Source organism: Homo sapiens, chromosome 15 (assembly GCF_000001405.40).
Source record: "Homo sapiens chromosome 15, GRCh38.p14 Primary Assembly".
Taxonomy (NCBI): domain Eukaryota; kingdom Metazoa; phylum Chordata; class Mammalia; order Primates; family Hominidae; genus Homo; species Homo sapiens.
In genome coordinates, this window is record NC_000015.10 from 43,762,563 (window position 1) to 43,777,038 (window position 14,476).

The following is a 14,476-nucleotide window of genomic DNA, read 5'->3' on the forward strand; positions in this document are numbered from 1 at the left end:
TTAAATTTGGCTAAAAGCCACTTTTTATCATCTAGATTTTACTGATTCTTTATATTTTACAAGGAGTTAGCATGTATTTATTAAACATTTATGTTTTAGTCACTTTTCTAAATGAGTAGTTCTGAAGACAAATATAGAGAAGGAAAAAAATTGGGTGAAGTGGTTTACAGTTTATTTTGACATGTCATCTTAATTTAATCCTTCTGATACCTGAAATAGTCCCTGAAACTCTTAAGCAATTTGCCCAAATTTGTTCAATTATGGGAAAGTAAAATGAAGACTTGAACACTGACAAATTTTCTCCCTTGGCTCTCTCAAGAAATGTTTCTGTAAAGGGTAGAGGGAAAATTCTCATCCTAAATATTGTGCCTGTCTGAGGTAGTCATGGCAAAGCAGACCCAGTCCTCAAAATAGAATGAAATGTTTATGGTTTATGGAATAGACGTTTATGGTTTGGAATGTCCATCTGTCAGCACTTATTGCTTCTTCCTTGTGTTTAATATTTTCTGTATAGGTTTTTTCGATGATTCATTCAGTGAGGCTCACTCCGAGTTCCTAAAAGCAGCCAGCAACTTGAGGGATAACTACCGATTTGCACATACGAATGTTGAGTCTCTGGTGAACGAGTATGATGATAATGGAGAGTAAGTGACTGAGTTGAATCTCCTGACCAAGTATTATTGTGTGAACTGGTGATACTGATTGACTGGGACAAGGTTTCACTCTGTCACCCAGGCTGGAGTGCAGTGGTGCAATCTCTGCTCACTGCAGCCTCCACCTCCCAGGTTCAAACGATTCTCGCGCCTCAACCTCCTGCATAGCTGGGAGTACAGGCACGCGCCACCACACCCTGCTAATTTTTGTATTTTTAGTAGAGACAGGGTTTCACCATGTTGCCCAGGCTGGTTTCAAATTCCTGGCCTCAAGTGTTCCACCCACCTCGGCCTCCCAAAGTGCTGAGATTACAGGCATGAGCCACCGCACCCAGCTGAATTGGTCATTTTTATACCTAATTTTTCCCAAGGGTTTATTGAGTACTTTCAAGGCATTATGCTACATGCCCAGAAACTATTGCTGCCTTCAAGGAACATCCCTCTATCTAGTAGAGGGAGATTGTATGCATGAACATATATAAAAATGAAAGTGTAAGTGTATGTAGAACTATATATGGAGTGGTTGGAAGTACAAAAGAGGGAGTGTTTTTTTCTTCTTATGGGGTAGGGGGGTAATATCAGAAATATTCATAGAGGGGGTGACTCTTGAAGGATCAGTTTTCTCTGGAAGGTTATGGCCTTTGAAATAAAAATTATTCCAGATAGAGCACCAGGAGTGAAGGCCTTGAGATGTAAGATAGCCTAGGCATGTTGGGGCCCATAGTACTGCTGGAGTATTGTTTGTGATTGAGATCATAATGAAAGATAAGATTGGAGTATTAAGCAGAGACCAAATTATAAATTTTAAGTGCCATACAAAAGAGCTTTGATTTTATCTTTTAGACATTTGAGAGCCATTAAAAGACTTTGGGCTGGGGAGTAATGCCTAGTGTTCCATTACTGGAATACTAAGCTTGTGGGAGTTATTTATATCCTCCTGCTCAAGGTCATTGCCAAGGTCTGATCTTTCACAAAAACAATTTGCAACCTCCCACGTAAATGGGTTAAATTTGTGAAGAAGTCACTGGCAGCCACATGATAATGATTTGAAGGGGGAGTGGTGCAAGGCATTCTAAGGATTCTAAGGAGAATTCTAAGGACTATAAGGAGAATCTAAACTGAGGATGACATGTGAGAGTCTAAACTCGGTCAACAGCATTAGTGGCAATGGATAGGAAGGGGTGAGTATAAAAAAATGTAAACAATAGTCACTAACTATGAGTGAAAAGAAGATTCAGAGCAAGTTTGAGTTTATTTTTTTATTTTTTTCAGACAGAGTCTCGCCCTTGTTGCCCAGGCTGGAGTGCAGTGGTGCGATCTCGGCTCACTACAACCTCCGCCTCCTGGGTTCAAGTGATTCTCCTGCCTCAGCCTCCTGAGTAGCTAGGATTACAGGTGTGCACCACCACACCTGGGTAGTTTATGTGTTTTTAGTAGAGACAGGGTTTCATCATATTAGCCAGTCTGGTCTCAAACTCCTGACCTGAGGTGATCTGTCTGCCTCGGGCTCCCAAAGTGTTGGGATTACAGGTGTGAGCCACCACACCCAGCCCGCTATTGTTTCTAAAGGTTTGAAAATCTACTCTAACCCCCTTTTGAGATAATGAAAAAGCTGAAGCCCAGAAGGATTAAATTGAGACCTGGTCCAACGTGTTTGGAATTAGTTGGGGAACTATGATTAGAACCACGTTCTCTTAATTTTCTAACCCAAAATTTAGTAAACCCTATACCCAATTATTGCACTTAAGATTAAGGTGGTTAGCATCTTAGTGTTAATGAGAAGGTCTTGTTGCTGAATCTGTGGTACTAGAAAAGAGTCCTTATGTGCTTAGATGTTGCTAGTTAAAAGTGGCAGCAAAAGTACATAGTCTGAGCTTTACATGAAACATGGGAGCTCCACCAGTAATCCCAGCATTTTTGGAGGCTGAGATGGGAGGATCGCTTGAGCCTGGGAGTTCAAGACCACCCTTGGTAACATGATGAGACCCCCATCTCTACAAAAATTTAAAAAATAAATTAGTTGTGCATGGTGGTGCACACCTGTGTTCTCAGCTATTTGGGCAGCTAAGGTAGGAGGATCACTTGAGCCTAGGAGTTCAAGGCTACAGTGAGCTATAATCACACCATTGCACTCCAGCCTGAGCAACAGAGCGAAACCCTATCTCAAAAAAAAAAAGATGGGAGACAGTTCTTCTGCTATCTGCCTACTGAGACTTTTCTTTTTTTTTTTTAAGGGGTATCATCTTATTTCGTCCTTCACATCTCACTAACAAGTTTGAGGACAAGACTGTGGCATATACAGAGCAAAAAATGACCAGTGGCAAAATTAAAAAGTTTATCCAGGAAAACATGTGAGTACTTCTTTGTATCTTGTCTGGGATTTATTTGCTTGATTTTAGTTTGTTTACCTCAGTTATTAAGCCGAGCTATATTTTGGCGTAAACAGTCTATTTGGGGGGATTGTAATAGTAATAGTTTGAGTTTATATTAAAGCAGTAATGTGTGGGTGTTAGAACTCCTGTTGTCATCCTGTAAGGTATATATTGCTCAGTACTTGTTCTAAATGTTTAAAATCTCTTTCCTTCATAAATGCTATCAATTATTTTGTGGCAACTTTATGATATAGCTAAAAACTTGGCAAGCCAGTTGATAATGGATTATTTCATTTCAGTTTTGGTATCTGCCCTCACATGACAGAAGACAATAAAGATTTGATACAGGGCAAGGACTTACTTATTGCTTACTATGATGTGGACTATGAAAAGAACGCTAAAGGTTCCAACTACTGGAGAAACAGGTAATAAGAATTATGTTTTTCCCTCATGAACAAGTTTACCCAATGTATAGACAGTCCCTTCTAACTATCTTGTTGGTTCCTTAAGAATCTGTAAAACAATAAATGGTTCCTTAAGAAGAGGTAAAAAAAAAAAAAAAAAAATTAAAGTAACTATCCTGTTACCATGTGTGGTATAAAAGCAGGAAAGAATGGGAACATTTGGCTTCCAAATTGTCTACAATTGACTTCAAATGGCTACATTTGAAGCCATAAGGACAAATAAACTGTTTTCACAATCTGTTGGGCATGTATTTCGTAGGTGTTTCTTTGCTTTGTGACACAGTGACTCCAAGTAGAAGGTGGAAATTTGATATAAAATGCACTTAAAACATTGTGCTTACTTGCACATTGAGCCTCTCAGTGCATTTTACCCTTACAAATTTTGTTTTCAGATCAGTTATTATGCCTATAATAGATTTCAGTTATATATTACAGCAAGATTTAGCAGGAATGCACCAGTTGATTGGGTATCACCAATTTGCCAGTGAAGTTCAGTAAGGCATTGAAGTATATCATAACCCTGTGTCAGTGCCCAAGAGCTCAGACTGTTCAGACTGATTCCAGAAGGCTAGAACTATAGAACTTAGTCTTTGCTTTCCAATCACTTGCTTCTTAGTTTCAAAAGTGCTTGACCACCCTGTATAGTCTTGGCACAAATGTCTCTTGTTTCCCACAGGGTAATGATGGTGGCAAAGAAATTCCTGGATGCTGGGCACAAACTCAACTTTGCTGTAGCTAGCCGCAAAACCTTTAGCCATGAACTTTCTGATTTTGGCTTGGAGAGCACTGCTGGAGAGATTCCTGTTGTTGCTATCAGAACTGCTAAAGGAGAGAAGTTTGTCATGCAGGAGGAGTTCTCGTGAGTTGCTAGTTGGGCTTTGATTCTCCAAGGCAATTATTAAAGCCTTTTATACTACAAAGGATTTCTAAAGAACAATAACCCTGGAATGTGAAGATAGGTCTTTTAATCAAGACCTATGACTGTCATTTTTCTCAATTTAAATATAGGTACTTTAGACCAGGCGTGGTGGCTCACGCCTGTAATCCCAGCACTTTGGGAGGCCAAGGCAGGTGGATCGCCTAAGGTCGGGAGTTCGAGACCAGCCTGACCAACATAGAGAAACCCCGTCTCTACTAAAAATGCAAAAAAATTAGCCAGGCACGGTGGTGCATGCCTGCAATCCCAGCTACTCAGGAGGCTGAGGCAGGAGAATCGCTTGAACCTGGGAGGCGGAGGTTGCGGTGAACCAGGATCGTGCCATTGCACTCTGGCCTGGGCAACAAGAGCGAAACTCTGTCTCAAAAAAAGAAATAAATAAAGAAAAATAAATACATATAGGTACTTTAAGGATTATGATCCTTAATGAATTCTGAAAACTAATGAAAGGATGGCAGGTTGGAATTCTTACATGATTCCACTTGGTCATTAGAAATAGCAGATAAAGGGTGAGCACAGTGGCTCACACCTGTAATCCCAGCACTTTGGGAGGCCGAGGCATGTGGATCACAGGAGTTAAAGACCAGCCTGGCCCACATAGTGAAACCCCGTCTCTACTAAAAATACAAAAATTAGCCGGGTGTGACGGTGCGCACCTGTAATTCCAGCTACTGGGGAGGCTGAGGCACCAGAATCACTTGAACCCGGGAGGAAGAGGTTGCAGTGAGCTGAGATCATGCCACTGTTCTCCAGCCTGGGTGACAGAGCAAGACTCTGTCTCAAAAAAAAAAAAAAAAAAAAAGAAAGAAATAGATAAGATTGGACAGCCTCCTTTGGGCCAGATGTGGTGGCTCACACCTATAATCCCAGCACTTTGGGAGGCTGAGGCAGGAAGATCACTTGATCACTTGAGCCCATGAGTTTGAGGCCAGCCTGGGCAACATAGCAAGACCCCGTCTCCAAAAAATTTAAAAATCTAAAAAAAGATTGAACAGTCTCCTTGATACTGACGTAATTTCAAACCAAACCATTCCCCCCCCTCATCCCTACAGAATGTATTTTCTTTTTGAAATAGCACATGGGTCTAAAGTGAACTCAGAATCGGGAAGATCTGAAGACCCCGGAAACAATTTTTACCCTCACTTTCTGAGATTTTGGGAGATTGAGACAAGAGAAAATCTTCCTTGTGAGCCAGTCAATAAAACAAAATACTGTAAATAGTGTGCTCCAGAGCAATAAGACCTTGTTTTCTTACAAAGATGAATCTCCAGAAGACCAATGATTCTCCTTTCTCTGAACTTTGTAATCCACAAAGAACACACTAGAAATAAAAGGAACGGTTTGTTTCTTCAGTCGGTAGTTCTGCATATTGAGAGATGAGAGTCCCCCTTTTTTAGCCTTGAAAAGCTAAAATACATAGTAACTATTCAAAGAAATTGCTGTAATTTTCTCAGCGGTGGGAATAGATTAACAAGCCTTACCCTTGTTTTCCAATTGTAGGCGTGATGGGAAGGCTCTGGAGAGGTTCCTGCAGGATTACTTTGATGGCAATCTGAAGAGATACCTGAAGTCTGAACCTATCCCAGAGAGCAATGATGGGCCTGTGAAGGTGAGGTGCTCACAGCCTCATCAAGCTATGAGCAATTGCCTGTCCTCATTTCTTTGTTCCAAAACTGTGGGGTCTAAATGAAGACTTCGTTGGCCATCTCTTTTTTTTTTTGTCCTTACTCCCGAGTCATAAAATAAGCATTGGCAGGCCAAGCGGTGGCTCATGCCTGTAATCCCAGCACTTTGGGAGGCAAAGGCGGGCACATCACAAGGTCAAGAGTTTGAGACCAGCCTGCCCAACATGGTGAAACCCCGTATCTACTAAAAACACAAAAAAATCAGCCGGGCATGGTGGCGGGCGCCTGTAAGCCCAGCTACTCGGGAGGCTGAGGCAGGAGAATCGCCTGAACCCAGGAAGCAGAGGTTGCAGTGAGTCAAGATTATGCCACTGCACTCCAGCCTGGGCGACAAGAGCGAAACTCCATCTCAAAAAAAAAAAAAGCATTGGCAGGGCTCATAATGCTTGGTAGGGGCAAGCGTGTAAAGCCTGCGTAGAATTTTCTGATGAAATTTATATTGGGCTAAGTTACTCTTGAGGATAGAGCAACCCCTAAGAACAGTGTGTTGCTTTGAATTTTTTATAGGGATGTGGTCTTACTCTGTTGCCTCAGCCTTCTGAGTAGCTTGGACTGCAGGCATGTGCCACCAAGCTTGGCTTGAAATTATTTTAAGGAATGGTTGGGTAGCACTTCTATGTCCTGTAACTTCCTGAACATAGTTTGACAGGTGACAGACATAGGAACGAGTTGGTATCTAGTGAATGACAACATCTTTAATACAATCTGTAAATGTGATTTGGGTTTCCATGACTTATTTTCTGTGGTAACACATCAAATTAGAGAGGGATTGGGTCTAGGAACAAATACAGTTGTGAATTTATTTTTTTATGTTACCAACTAGAGATTCTTCTGTGTTTTCCAGGTAGTGGTAGCAGAGAATTTTGATGAAATAGTGAATAATGAAAATAAAGATGTGCTGATTGAATTTTATGCCCCTTGGTGTGGTCACTGTAAGAACCTGGAGCCCAAGTATAAAGAACTTGGCGAGAAGGTAAGTGTGAACCCTATTCTGAGGATAACATTTGAGCGGGAGCAGTAAGTTTATGTATGTATTCAGCATTGGCTAATTTGGTTGGTTCCTAAGTACTGATAGATTTTTTTCCCAATTACTTGCTGTTTACTCACTTTCTCGTGACTGCCCCCTAGTGCTCCAGCCTGTGCAGTGCCTGAGATACCCACTTTTAACATTCCATTCCTCAGGCTCAATCTAGATAATGGTTAAAAATATCTAAGGACTTCTGAATTTTGGTAATGGCTTACATGAATCCATATGGTCCTTCATCTTAAAACATTTGGCTTAGCCCCTGTAATGTCTTATTCAGACCAGGTAAATTTGAAGGTGGCAATATGTAGAGTCTTAATACAAGAGAAAAAAGGGAAGCTTGTGGAAAGTGAGGTACTACCATCTGCAAACCACTCTTCCCACATGAACAGCAGTTTATCTGCTGGAATTACAGGTGCGCACCACCACACCCGGCTAATTTTTGTATTTTTAGTGTTTGAAGAATGAGATTGTTTTAAGTCTTCAATTGACTAAGTGTCCCTCTGTCACTGAAAACTTGAAATGTAAACATTTAACCTGTTTTATTAACAGCTCAGCAAAGACCCAAATATCGTCATAGCCAAGATGGATGCCACAGCCAATGATGTGCCTTCTCCATATGAAGTCAGAGGGTAAGTGGCTTAAAACTTAACAAAAGTGTCTAGGCAATAGATAGGAATAAAGCTTGTAACCACCAGGAAATCATTACTAGACATAGTTTTCATATTCAGTTGAAGGCAGAACCACTGATTCCTTCTTGGCTTAAGAGTTCTGCAGTATGGGCCCACATAACTGCTTGAAATTAATAAATGTTTCTTTCCCCAGTTTTCCTACCATATACTTCTCTCCAGCCAACAAGAAGCTAAATCCAAAGAAATATGAAGTAAGTGAATTGTCCCATATCCCCACAAATATATACACAGACGTAAACACACAACCTTAAACATAGTTCTTTAATTGGGTTTATTTATTTATTTAATTATTTTTTGAGACGGAGTTTCGCTCTTGTTGCCTGGGCTGGAGTGCAATGGCGTGATCTCGGCTCACCGTTCAAGCGATTCTCCTGCCTCAGCCTCCCGAGTAGCTGGGATTACAGGCATGCGCCACCACCCCGGCTAATTTTGTATTTTTAGTAGAGATGGGGTTTCTCCATGTTGGTTGGGCTGGTCTTGAACTCCTAACCTCAGGTGATCAGCCTGCCTTGGCCTCCCAAAGTGCTGGGATTACAGGCGTGAGCCACCGTGCTAGGCTAATTGGGTTTATTTAACTAAAATCTCTTTAAACTCTCATGGGCAGTATATGTGGCTGCTAATATGCTTTTACAAACTCAGAAGTCTTCCTGTTTGGGTGGGGCAGATCAGGGTTCTTTAAAAAGTTACACTTTTAAGCTGATCTTTCTGTTTTCAGGGTGGCCGTGAATTAAGTGATTTTATTAGCTATCTACAAAGAGAAGCTACAAACCCCCCTGTAATTCAAGAAGAAAAACCCAAGAAGAAGAAGAAGGCACAGGAGGATCTCTAAAGCAGTAGCCAAACACCACTTTGTAAAAGGACTCTTCCATCAGAGATGGGAAAACCATTGGGGAGGACTAGGACCCATATGGGAATTATTACCTCTCAGGGCCGAGAGGACAGAATGGATATAATCTGAATCCTGTTAAATTTTCTCTAAACTGTTTCTTAGCTGCACTGTTTATGGAAATACCAGGACCAGTTTATGTTTGTGGTTTTGGGAAAAATTATTTGTGTTGGGGGAAATGTTGTGGGGGTGGGGTTGAGTTGGGGGTATTTTCTAATTTTTTTTGTACATTTGGAACAGTGACAATAAATGAGACCCCTTTAAACTGTCTTATTTTCCACCAGATTGAGAACCAGATGTTCTCTACACACTATCACTGTTCAATAGAGCTTTCTTCAGTGATGGAAATGCTCTGTAATCTACACTGTTCAGTACAGGTAGCTACGGAGCATCTGAAATATGGCTAGAAACTACATTTTTGTTTTGATTAATTTAAATAGCCATACAGTTGCTACCATACTGGTCACGGCAGCTGTAGACTGACTGGGTCCATAGTTCATCACCTCAAAATTCTTTCAAAATTTATTATCTCTTTCTCTCCTTACATGTTTATTTCCCAGGCCTACCCTGGTGATTAGAACAGCTGAAGGGCCTTTCTTGTTAGGCTGTCCATGCCCTAAGGATGGGTTCCTGTTTATCCTTGCCACGCAGCTGAGCTTACTGCATGTTTATATCTCCCAAGGACTGTTCTCTGCTCAGAAATGCCCTGTCAAGGGTGTGGCATCACGCAGTTTCATCCAAGTTGTTTCAGGAATTGCTGACACTGCTGGGTGCAGTTCTATCCCCTAAAGCCTAGGGTGTGGCCCTTTAACTTCCCCTTCAGTAGAACTGGGAAAGGCAGTACCATTCCTAGTTATGAGTGAAGCATCCACTTTCTTTTGTAACAATGAGGAACAGAAAGGATAAGACTGAAGAGTGATCTTTTGTCCAACTAAACCATTTATCTCCTTTTGTAGGTAAATTCAAATCCTGCCCAGTTATAGTTTTCAGTCACTGGAGAATTCCAGGTAGGAGCCCTACTTTAGGTGATCCTAGGAACTCCTATGTTCAGAAAAGAATTTTCTTCCTACTATATAATTACAGTATTTAGCTGTCAATTTTAAGATGAATTTGGTAGAGCCTTATAGTAAAGTATGTATCTTGGTCACACACAAAGCTTGGAAAAAGTAAAAGATGTCTAAACCATAATCTTGTAACTCATAACATCTGGGCTGGGGCCCGGGGATCTAATTGTTTAGAGAGCCCCAAAAGTGGCTCAGATGTAAAGCCAGGGTTAAGAACCATCTGCCTTGGAAGATTTAAGGGAAACATATAAACTTGTACAAAGGACACAGAAGCAGTCAGTTTTAATTTTTTAGCCATGTTGGTAAAAGTTCATTTTCAGTACATGGGTAACACCCAGGCCCTTTCCCATTATATCCAGGTATGCTACAAGTTCTTTTAACTCTTATCAGAAGTTATTATTACTGTTTCCTTAGAGAGGCTACCAGGCTAAAATTCACTTAGTTTGGTTTGTCTAATGTCCTCATTATTTTATCCTGAAGATGATGTCATTTCTCAGGACTTGAAAATGACTTGGCTGAACTAAAGGTAAAAAAGCCAAGCCTCTGTCACTTTTCCTAGACTCCTAGGCACAGCTATGGAGTCTTTGCACAGTGCCCATACCCTAAAAATTAATAATGAAAACCAAACCTCAAGAACCTAGAGCAGCTCTCTACTTGCCACCATGGACTCCAGTGGTCAGCATAAGAAAAGCAGATAGTTGCATTCTATTTAGTTTATAGCTGCTTTGTTCCTTTGTGTTTCACTAAGCAGAGGCTCAAAAATTCCCTTGATAACTTCAGCTGCCCCTGTTCTTTTCCTCAAACTCCAGGATGAGACCTTTAATGTGGGACAATTTCTGGTGAAGGTACTCACAGCGACGCTTTTCTTCTCTGTAACTTGGGTACTGCTGCAGAGAAAAAGCATCCATGTCAAAAAGTAAAAATTCTCATTCTACCTTGCTTCCGTTCCCAGACCTTGTCTTACCTTCCTGAACTTTTTATATTCCTGGATTATCTTGTCTTCCAGGACCTGAAACAGAAATTACTAGCACTGAGTTCAACATTAAGAAATGAGAGAGGGGCGGCCAGGCATGGTGGCTCACGCCTGTAATCCCAGCACTTTGGGCGGCTGAGGCAGGCAGATAACGAGGTCAGGAGATCTTGACCATCCTGGCTAACACAGTGAAACCCGTCTCTACTAAAAAAATACAAAAAAATTAGCTGGGCGTGGTGGCAGGCGCTTGTAGTCTCAGCTGCTCGGGAGGCTGCGGCAGGAGAATGGGGCAGGAGAATGGCGTGAACCCGGGAGGCGGAGCTTGCAGTGAGCCAAGATCACGCTACTGCACTCCAGCCTGGGCAACCAAGTGAGACTGTCTCAAAAAGAAAAAAAAAAGAGAGAGGGGCCAGGCGCAGTGGCTCACACCTGTAATCCCAGCGCTTTGGGAGACTGAGGTGGGTGGATCACTTGAAGTCAGGAGTTCAAGACCAGCCTGGCCAACATGGTAAAACCCTGTCTCTACTAAAAATACAAAAAGTGGCTGGGCATGGTGGCACATACCTATAATCCCAGCTATTCGGAAAGCTGAGGCATGAGAATCGCTTTAGCCTAAGAGGTGGAGGTTGCAGCGAGCCAAGATTGCGCCACTGCACTCCAGCTTGAGAGACGGAGCTAGACTGTCCCCCCAAAAAAAGAAGGGAAGTAACTTCCCTTCTCATTCTACCAAATGATACAGACTAATTTTTCCCTTCAAACAGGTTTCCTTGTCACTTTGCTTAGTCACTTTATAAACACAGGTGTATGGATGGTTAGCAGGGGGTTAATGGCCAGTAGAGCTGGAAAGCCAGGCTGGGTCCTGTCCTTACCTTGTATTCTGGAGTTCCTCGCCGAACTCTTTTAATCTCTGCTCCCAGCTCTATGAACCTTTGGCTTGCAGTCCCAACACGGGCATGCAGGATGCGGTATTCAGCATAATCTGTCTCAAAGTCCTGCTCATAGGCATGTTGCTGTTCTGCACTGTGGATGGCCCTGTATTGCCTGCCAGGAGCAGAGAGTTGTCACCTTCAATTTCATTGCCCCTGAAAAGCCCCCAGCTTCCAGGAAGTGTATCTTAATATATGAACAAGTCTTGATGAAATTGGAAAAAGCAAGGAACTCACAGGAGGTAGTCTGGTATATCTTCAGGACTTGGGGATTCAGAATCTAGGAAGGAAGCAAGAAAACACAAGTGATTATAAGTCTTTTCCACTGGCATTTTTACCCTCCTCTCATTAACTCACCTTCTTGAACTGAGGAACTGTGTTCTAATCTGGGGTCCATGTCCTCATCTTCTTGCTCCCAATCTTCTCCCTCTTGTAAATCCTGATTGGTCAGGCCTTGTAGGGGGCTTGGCACTAAAGGCAGAGTTCTGAACCTCTTTTCTTCCAGTTCTACAGTGGCTACAGGCACTGAACGTTTCTGTTGAGGAAAATATCTGTGTGACATAAACAGCCAAGAGCTTCCTAAATATGTTCTTCTCTCAAGAATTTCTCCTAGGCTGGGCACAGTGGCTCATACCTGTAATCCTGACCGTTTCAGAGGCTCAGGTGGGGGGATCGCTTGAGCCCAAGATTTCAAGACTAGTCTGGGTAACATAGTGAGACCCTATCTCTACAAAAAAATAAAAAAATGAGCCTGGTGTAGTGGCACACACCAGCTGAGGAGGGAGAATCGAGCCTAGGAGTTCAAGGCTGTGGTGAGCCGTGATCATACCACAACACTCCAGCCTGAGGTGACTGAGTGAGAATAAGAAAAAAAAAAAGGATGGCCTGAGCCCAGGAGTCTCCAGCCTGGGGAACAGAGAGACCTTGTCTCTAAAAAAATTCCTCCCATATAACGAGCTTCCAATTTCTAAATTTTAGCTTGACTAAAAGTGCTTTTCAAAATAGTCTTTGCCACTGTTTAATTATATTAATGTTACAAAAAAAAAGCCCTTGCCATTCTAACTTACCTTGTCCAGACGTTTCCGGCTGGCAGAGGAAGGCAGTGCCTGAACAGGTTCTCTGTTTGGAACATGGGTCTGGCTTCTAGGATATTTTAAGGGAATGGGACAGATGAAGACCAGGGTAGGAGGTGGAACTGGATCTTTTATTACAACATTTAAGAGTGGAGATTAGAAAGGAAGACAATGCCAAAGCTTCCCATGTTAGTCCCACCCCATCCAAAGTACCTCACTTCCCACTGTGCCATGTGCTCCCTTGAGGATCCTGGGAGTGACTGTCCTTGGTTGCTTGCCAGTGGATCTGACACTGACACCTGGTGGGGAAAGTGGCAGGAGCACTTGGTTCCCTGGAGTACTGGGATACCTTGGACTTCAGGCTTTGCCCCACCTTATCACAACTCCCTGCAATTTCTGGCCTCACCCACCTCCTCTAGTGCCATCTGTGGCTGTGATACTGCATCTCCTTCAGAATAGCCTCCTGTGTTCTGCCAACTCTCAGGATGTCTGGCATCTTCAGTCAGGTTGTGTCCCTGAACTGATGATGGGGCTGGGATAGAATCCATGGCTGCCCAAATAATGAGGCGCTCCCTGAGTGAGCCCAGGCAGTGGAGGCTGTTAGGCCCAGACCTGGAAAAGGATGGTGGAAAAAAATAGGAGGGTGGAGACCTCTTAAGCACCTCTCCACATTTCCCTCCCCCACTTTCCACAAACCCTTTCTTGCCGGCTACCTGTTCCCCCTCACCTGAGGAAGCGTTGGCACACAAGGTCCAAGCTACCACCAGCGCCCTCCTGACAACACTGGGACACTATGAAGGAGAAGAGGCAGGACCAACCAGGGCCTGGGAGTCTCAGATACTGGGGGTGGAAGGAGACGGTAAGCCCCATGAAGTCAGCCCCTCCCCCTCCTGCCGCCGCCACTCGTCCGGGAGCCAGTCCGTAAGTAAGACTAAGACGGGTCCCACAGGGCTTGTTAGCACACCAGGTGCAGCTGGGCCTGAGTTCCCCAGGAGGCCGAAACAGCACAGTCCCCTCAAACCACAGCCCCCTGGGACAACCCCAGCAGCCTCCTCGCCCCACTTGGAGTTCAGTTATCGGAACTACCTCAGACCGTGACTACTCGCAGCCTCCGGCCCCGACCGCACCTTCCACCTCCAGCCCACGTTTATGCTCCCTCGCCCTCACCTCGCTCACACACCCTGAGCTCGCACTTACCCCTCGGTGGCCTTGGAAAGCAATCACCGGCCGTACCTGCGGGGAGAGCGAAGATGTGACCGTTGAGCGCAGGTGAAGCAGTGTCCCCAGGATCCGGCGTCCGGAGCCCGGGATCACCTGCCTAGCGGGCTTCACTTGGAGAGGTGGGGAGGCCAGAGCTTGCGGAAGCCGCTCCCTCTCCCCTGCACCTTCTCCAGGGTCGCCGGCTGAGGCCCAAGGTCCCTAGGGGCAGTGACTAGAGAAGAAGGGGGCCGGCCGTACCTGTTGCCGCTGACACTCTTGCAGCGCCCGCAGGGCAGCGTCGTTGAGCCTGAGCAGTAAGAGGCTAGTCCGGGCAGCTTGCGTGAAGCAGAGCCGGAGCTGTCCTCTCAGAGGCTCCTGGAGCTCCTCCATGGCGACGAGTTCGAGTGCAAGCAGCACGGGGGCCACAGGCGAGGGCCACCACCGCCACCTCCTCTGTTCAGGGTTTGGTTGGCACACCCGGTAACCCACGTCTGCCCCACCCTCCGCCAGGAACCCGCCCCCGGCCC

The 14,476-nt window shown here is 44.0% G+C and overlaps 2 protein-coding genes across 2 annotated transcripts in view, besides 3 other annotated features; one reads left to right on the forward strand and one right to left on the reverse strand.

Annotated features, from left to right (window-relative positions):
- Nucleotides 1–10,716, forward strand: part of PDIA3 (protein disulfide isomerase family A member 3) — a 26,841-nt gene extending 16,125 nt beyond the window's left edge. Inside the window, exons 5-13 of the mRNA NM_005313.5 lie at nucleotides 515–644; nucleotides 2,888–3,004; nucleotides 3,325–3,450; nucleotides 4,166–4,348; nucleotides 5,927–6,035; nucleotides 6,956–7,084; nucleotides 7,688–7,767; nucleotides 7,961–8,018; nucleotides 8,543–10,716. Coding sequence (NP_005304.3) covers nucleotides 515–644; nucleotides 2,888–3,004; nucleotides 3,325–3,450; nucleotides 4,166–4,348; nucleotides 5,927–6,035; nucleotides 6,956–7,084; nucleotides 7,688–7,767; nucleotides 7,961–8,018; nucleotides 8,543–8,656 — 1,046 coding nt within the window. The 3' untranslated portion in view covers nucleotides 8,657–10,716. The remainder of the gene's footprint in view (nucleotides 1–514; nucleotides 645–2,887; nucleotides 3,005–3,324; nucleotides 3,451–4,165; nucleotides 4,349–5,926; nucleotides 6,036–6,955; nucleotides 7,085–7,687; nucleotides 7,768–7,960; nucleotides 8,019–8,542) is intronic.
- ELL3 (elongation factor for RNA polymerase II 3) lies at nucleotides 10,058–14,404 on the reverse strand. The gene is made up of 11 exons (NM_025165.3): nucleotides 14,208–14,404; nucleotides 13,947–13,982; nucleotides 13,477–13,589; nucleotides 13,160–13,361; nucleotides 12,963–13,048; nucleotides 12,744–12,819; nucleotides 12,034–12,211; nucleotides 11,914–11,956; nucleotides 11,620–11,791; nucleotides 10,742–10,786; nucleotides 10,058–10,664 (listed from the first exon to the last, which is right to left on the reverse strand). The coding sequence occupies exons 1-11, from the start codon at nucleotides 14,337–14,339 to the stop codon at nucleotides 10,554–10,556; spliced, it is 1,194 nt and encodes a 397-aa protein (NP_079441.1). The 5' UTR covers nucleotides 14,340–14,404; the 3' UTR covers nucleotides 10,058–10,553.
- Nucleotides 13,845–14,373: an enhancer, noted in NCBI's record as "H3K4me1 hESC enhancer chr15:44068605-44069133 (GRCh37/hg19 assembly coordinates)". NCBI's record gives its function as "activates a minimal SCP1, AML or CMV promoter by ChIP-STARR-seq in naive H9 embryonic stem cells {active_cell/tissue: H9 hESC(naive)}" and the evidence as "EXISTENCE:reporter gene assay evidence [ECO:0000049][PMID:30033119]".
- Nucleotides 13,867–13,916: an enhancer, noted in NCBI's record as "active region_9323". NCBI's record gives its function as "activates an Ori minimal core promoter by ATAC-STARR-seq in GM12878 lymphoblastoid cells {active_cell/tissue: GM12878}" and the evidence as "EXISTENCE:reporter gene assay evidence [ECO:0000049][PMID:35858748]".
- Nucleotides 14,357–14,466: a silencer, noted in NCBI's record as "silent region_6388". NCBI's record gives its function as "represses an Ori minimal core promoter by ATAC-STARR-seq in GM12878 lymphoblastoid cells {active_cell/tissue: GM12878}" and the evidence as "EXISTENCE:reporter gene assay evidence [ECO:0000049][PMID:35858748]".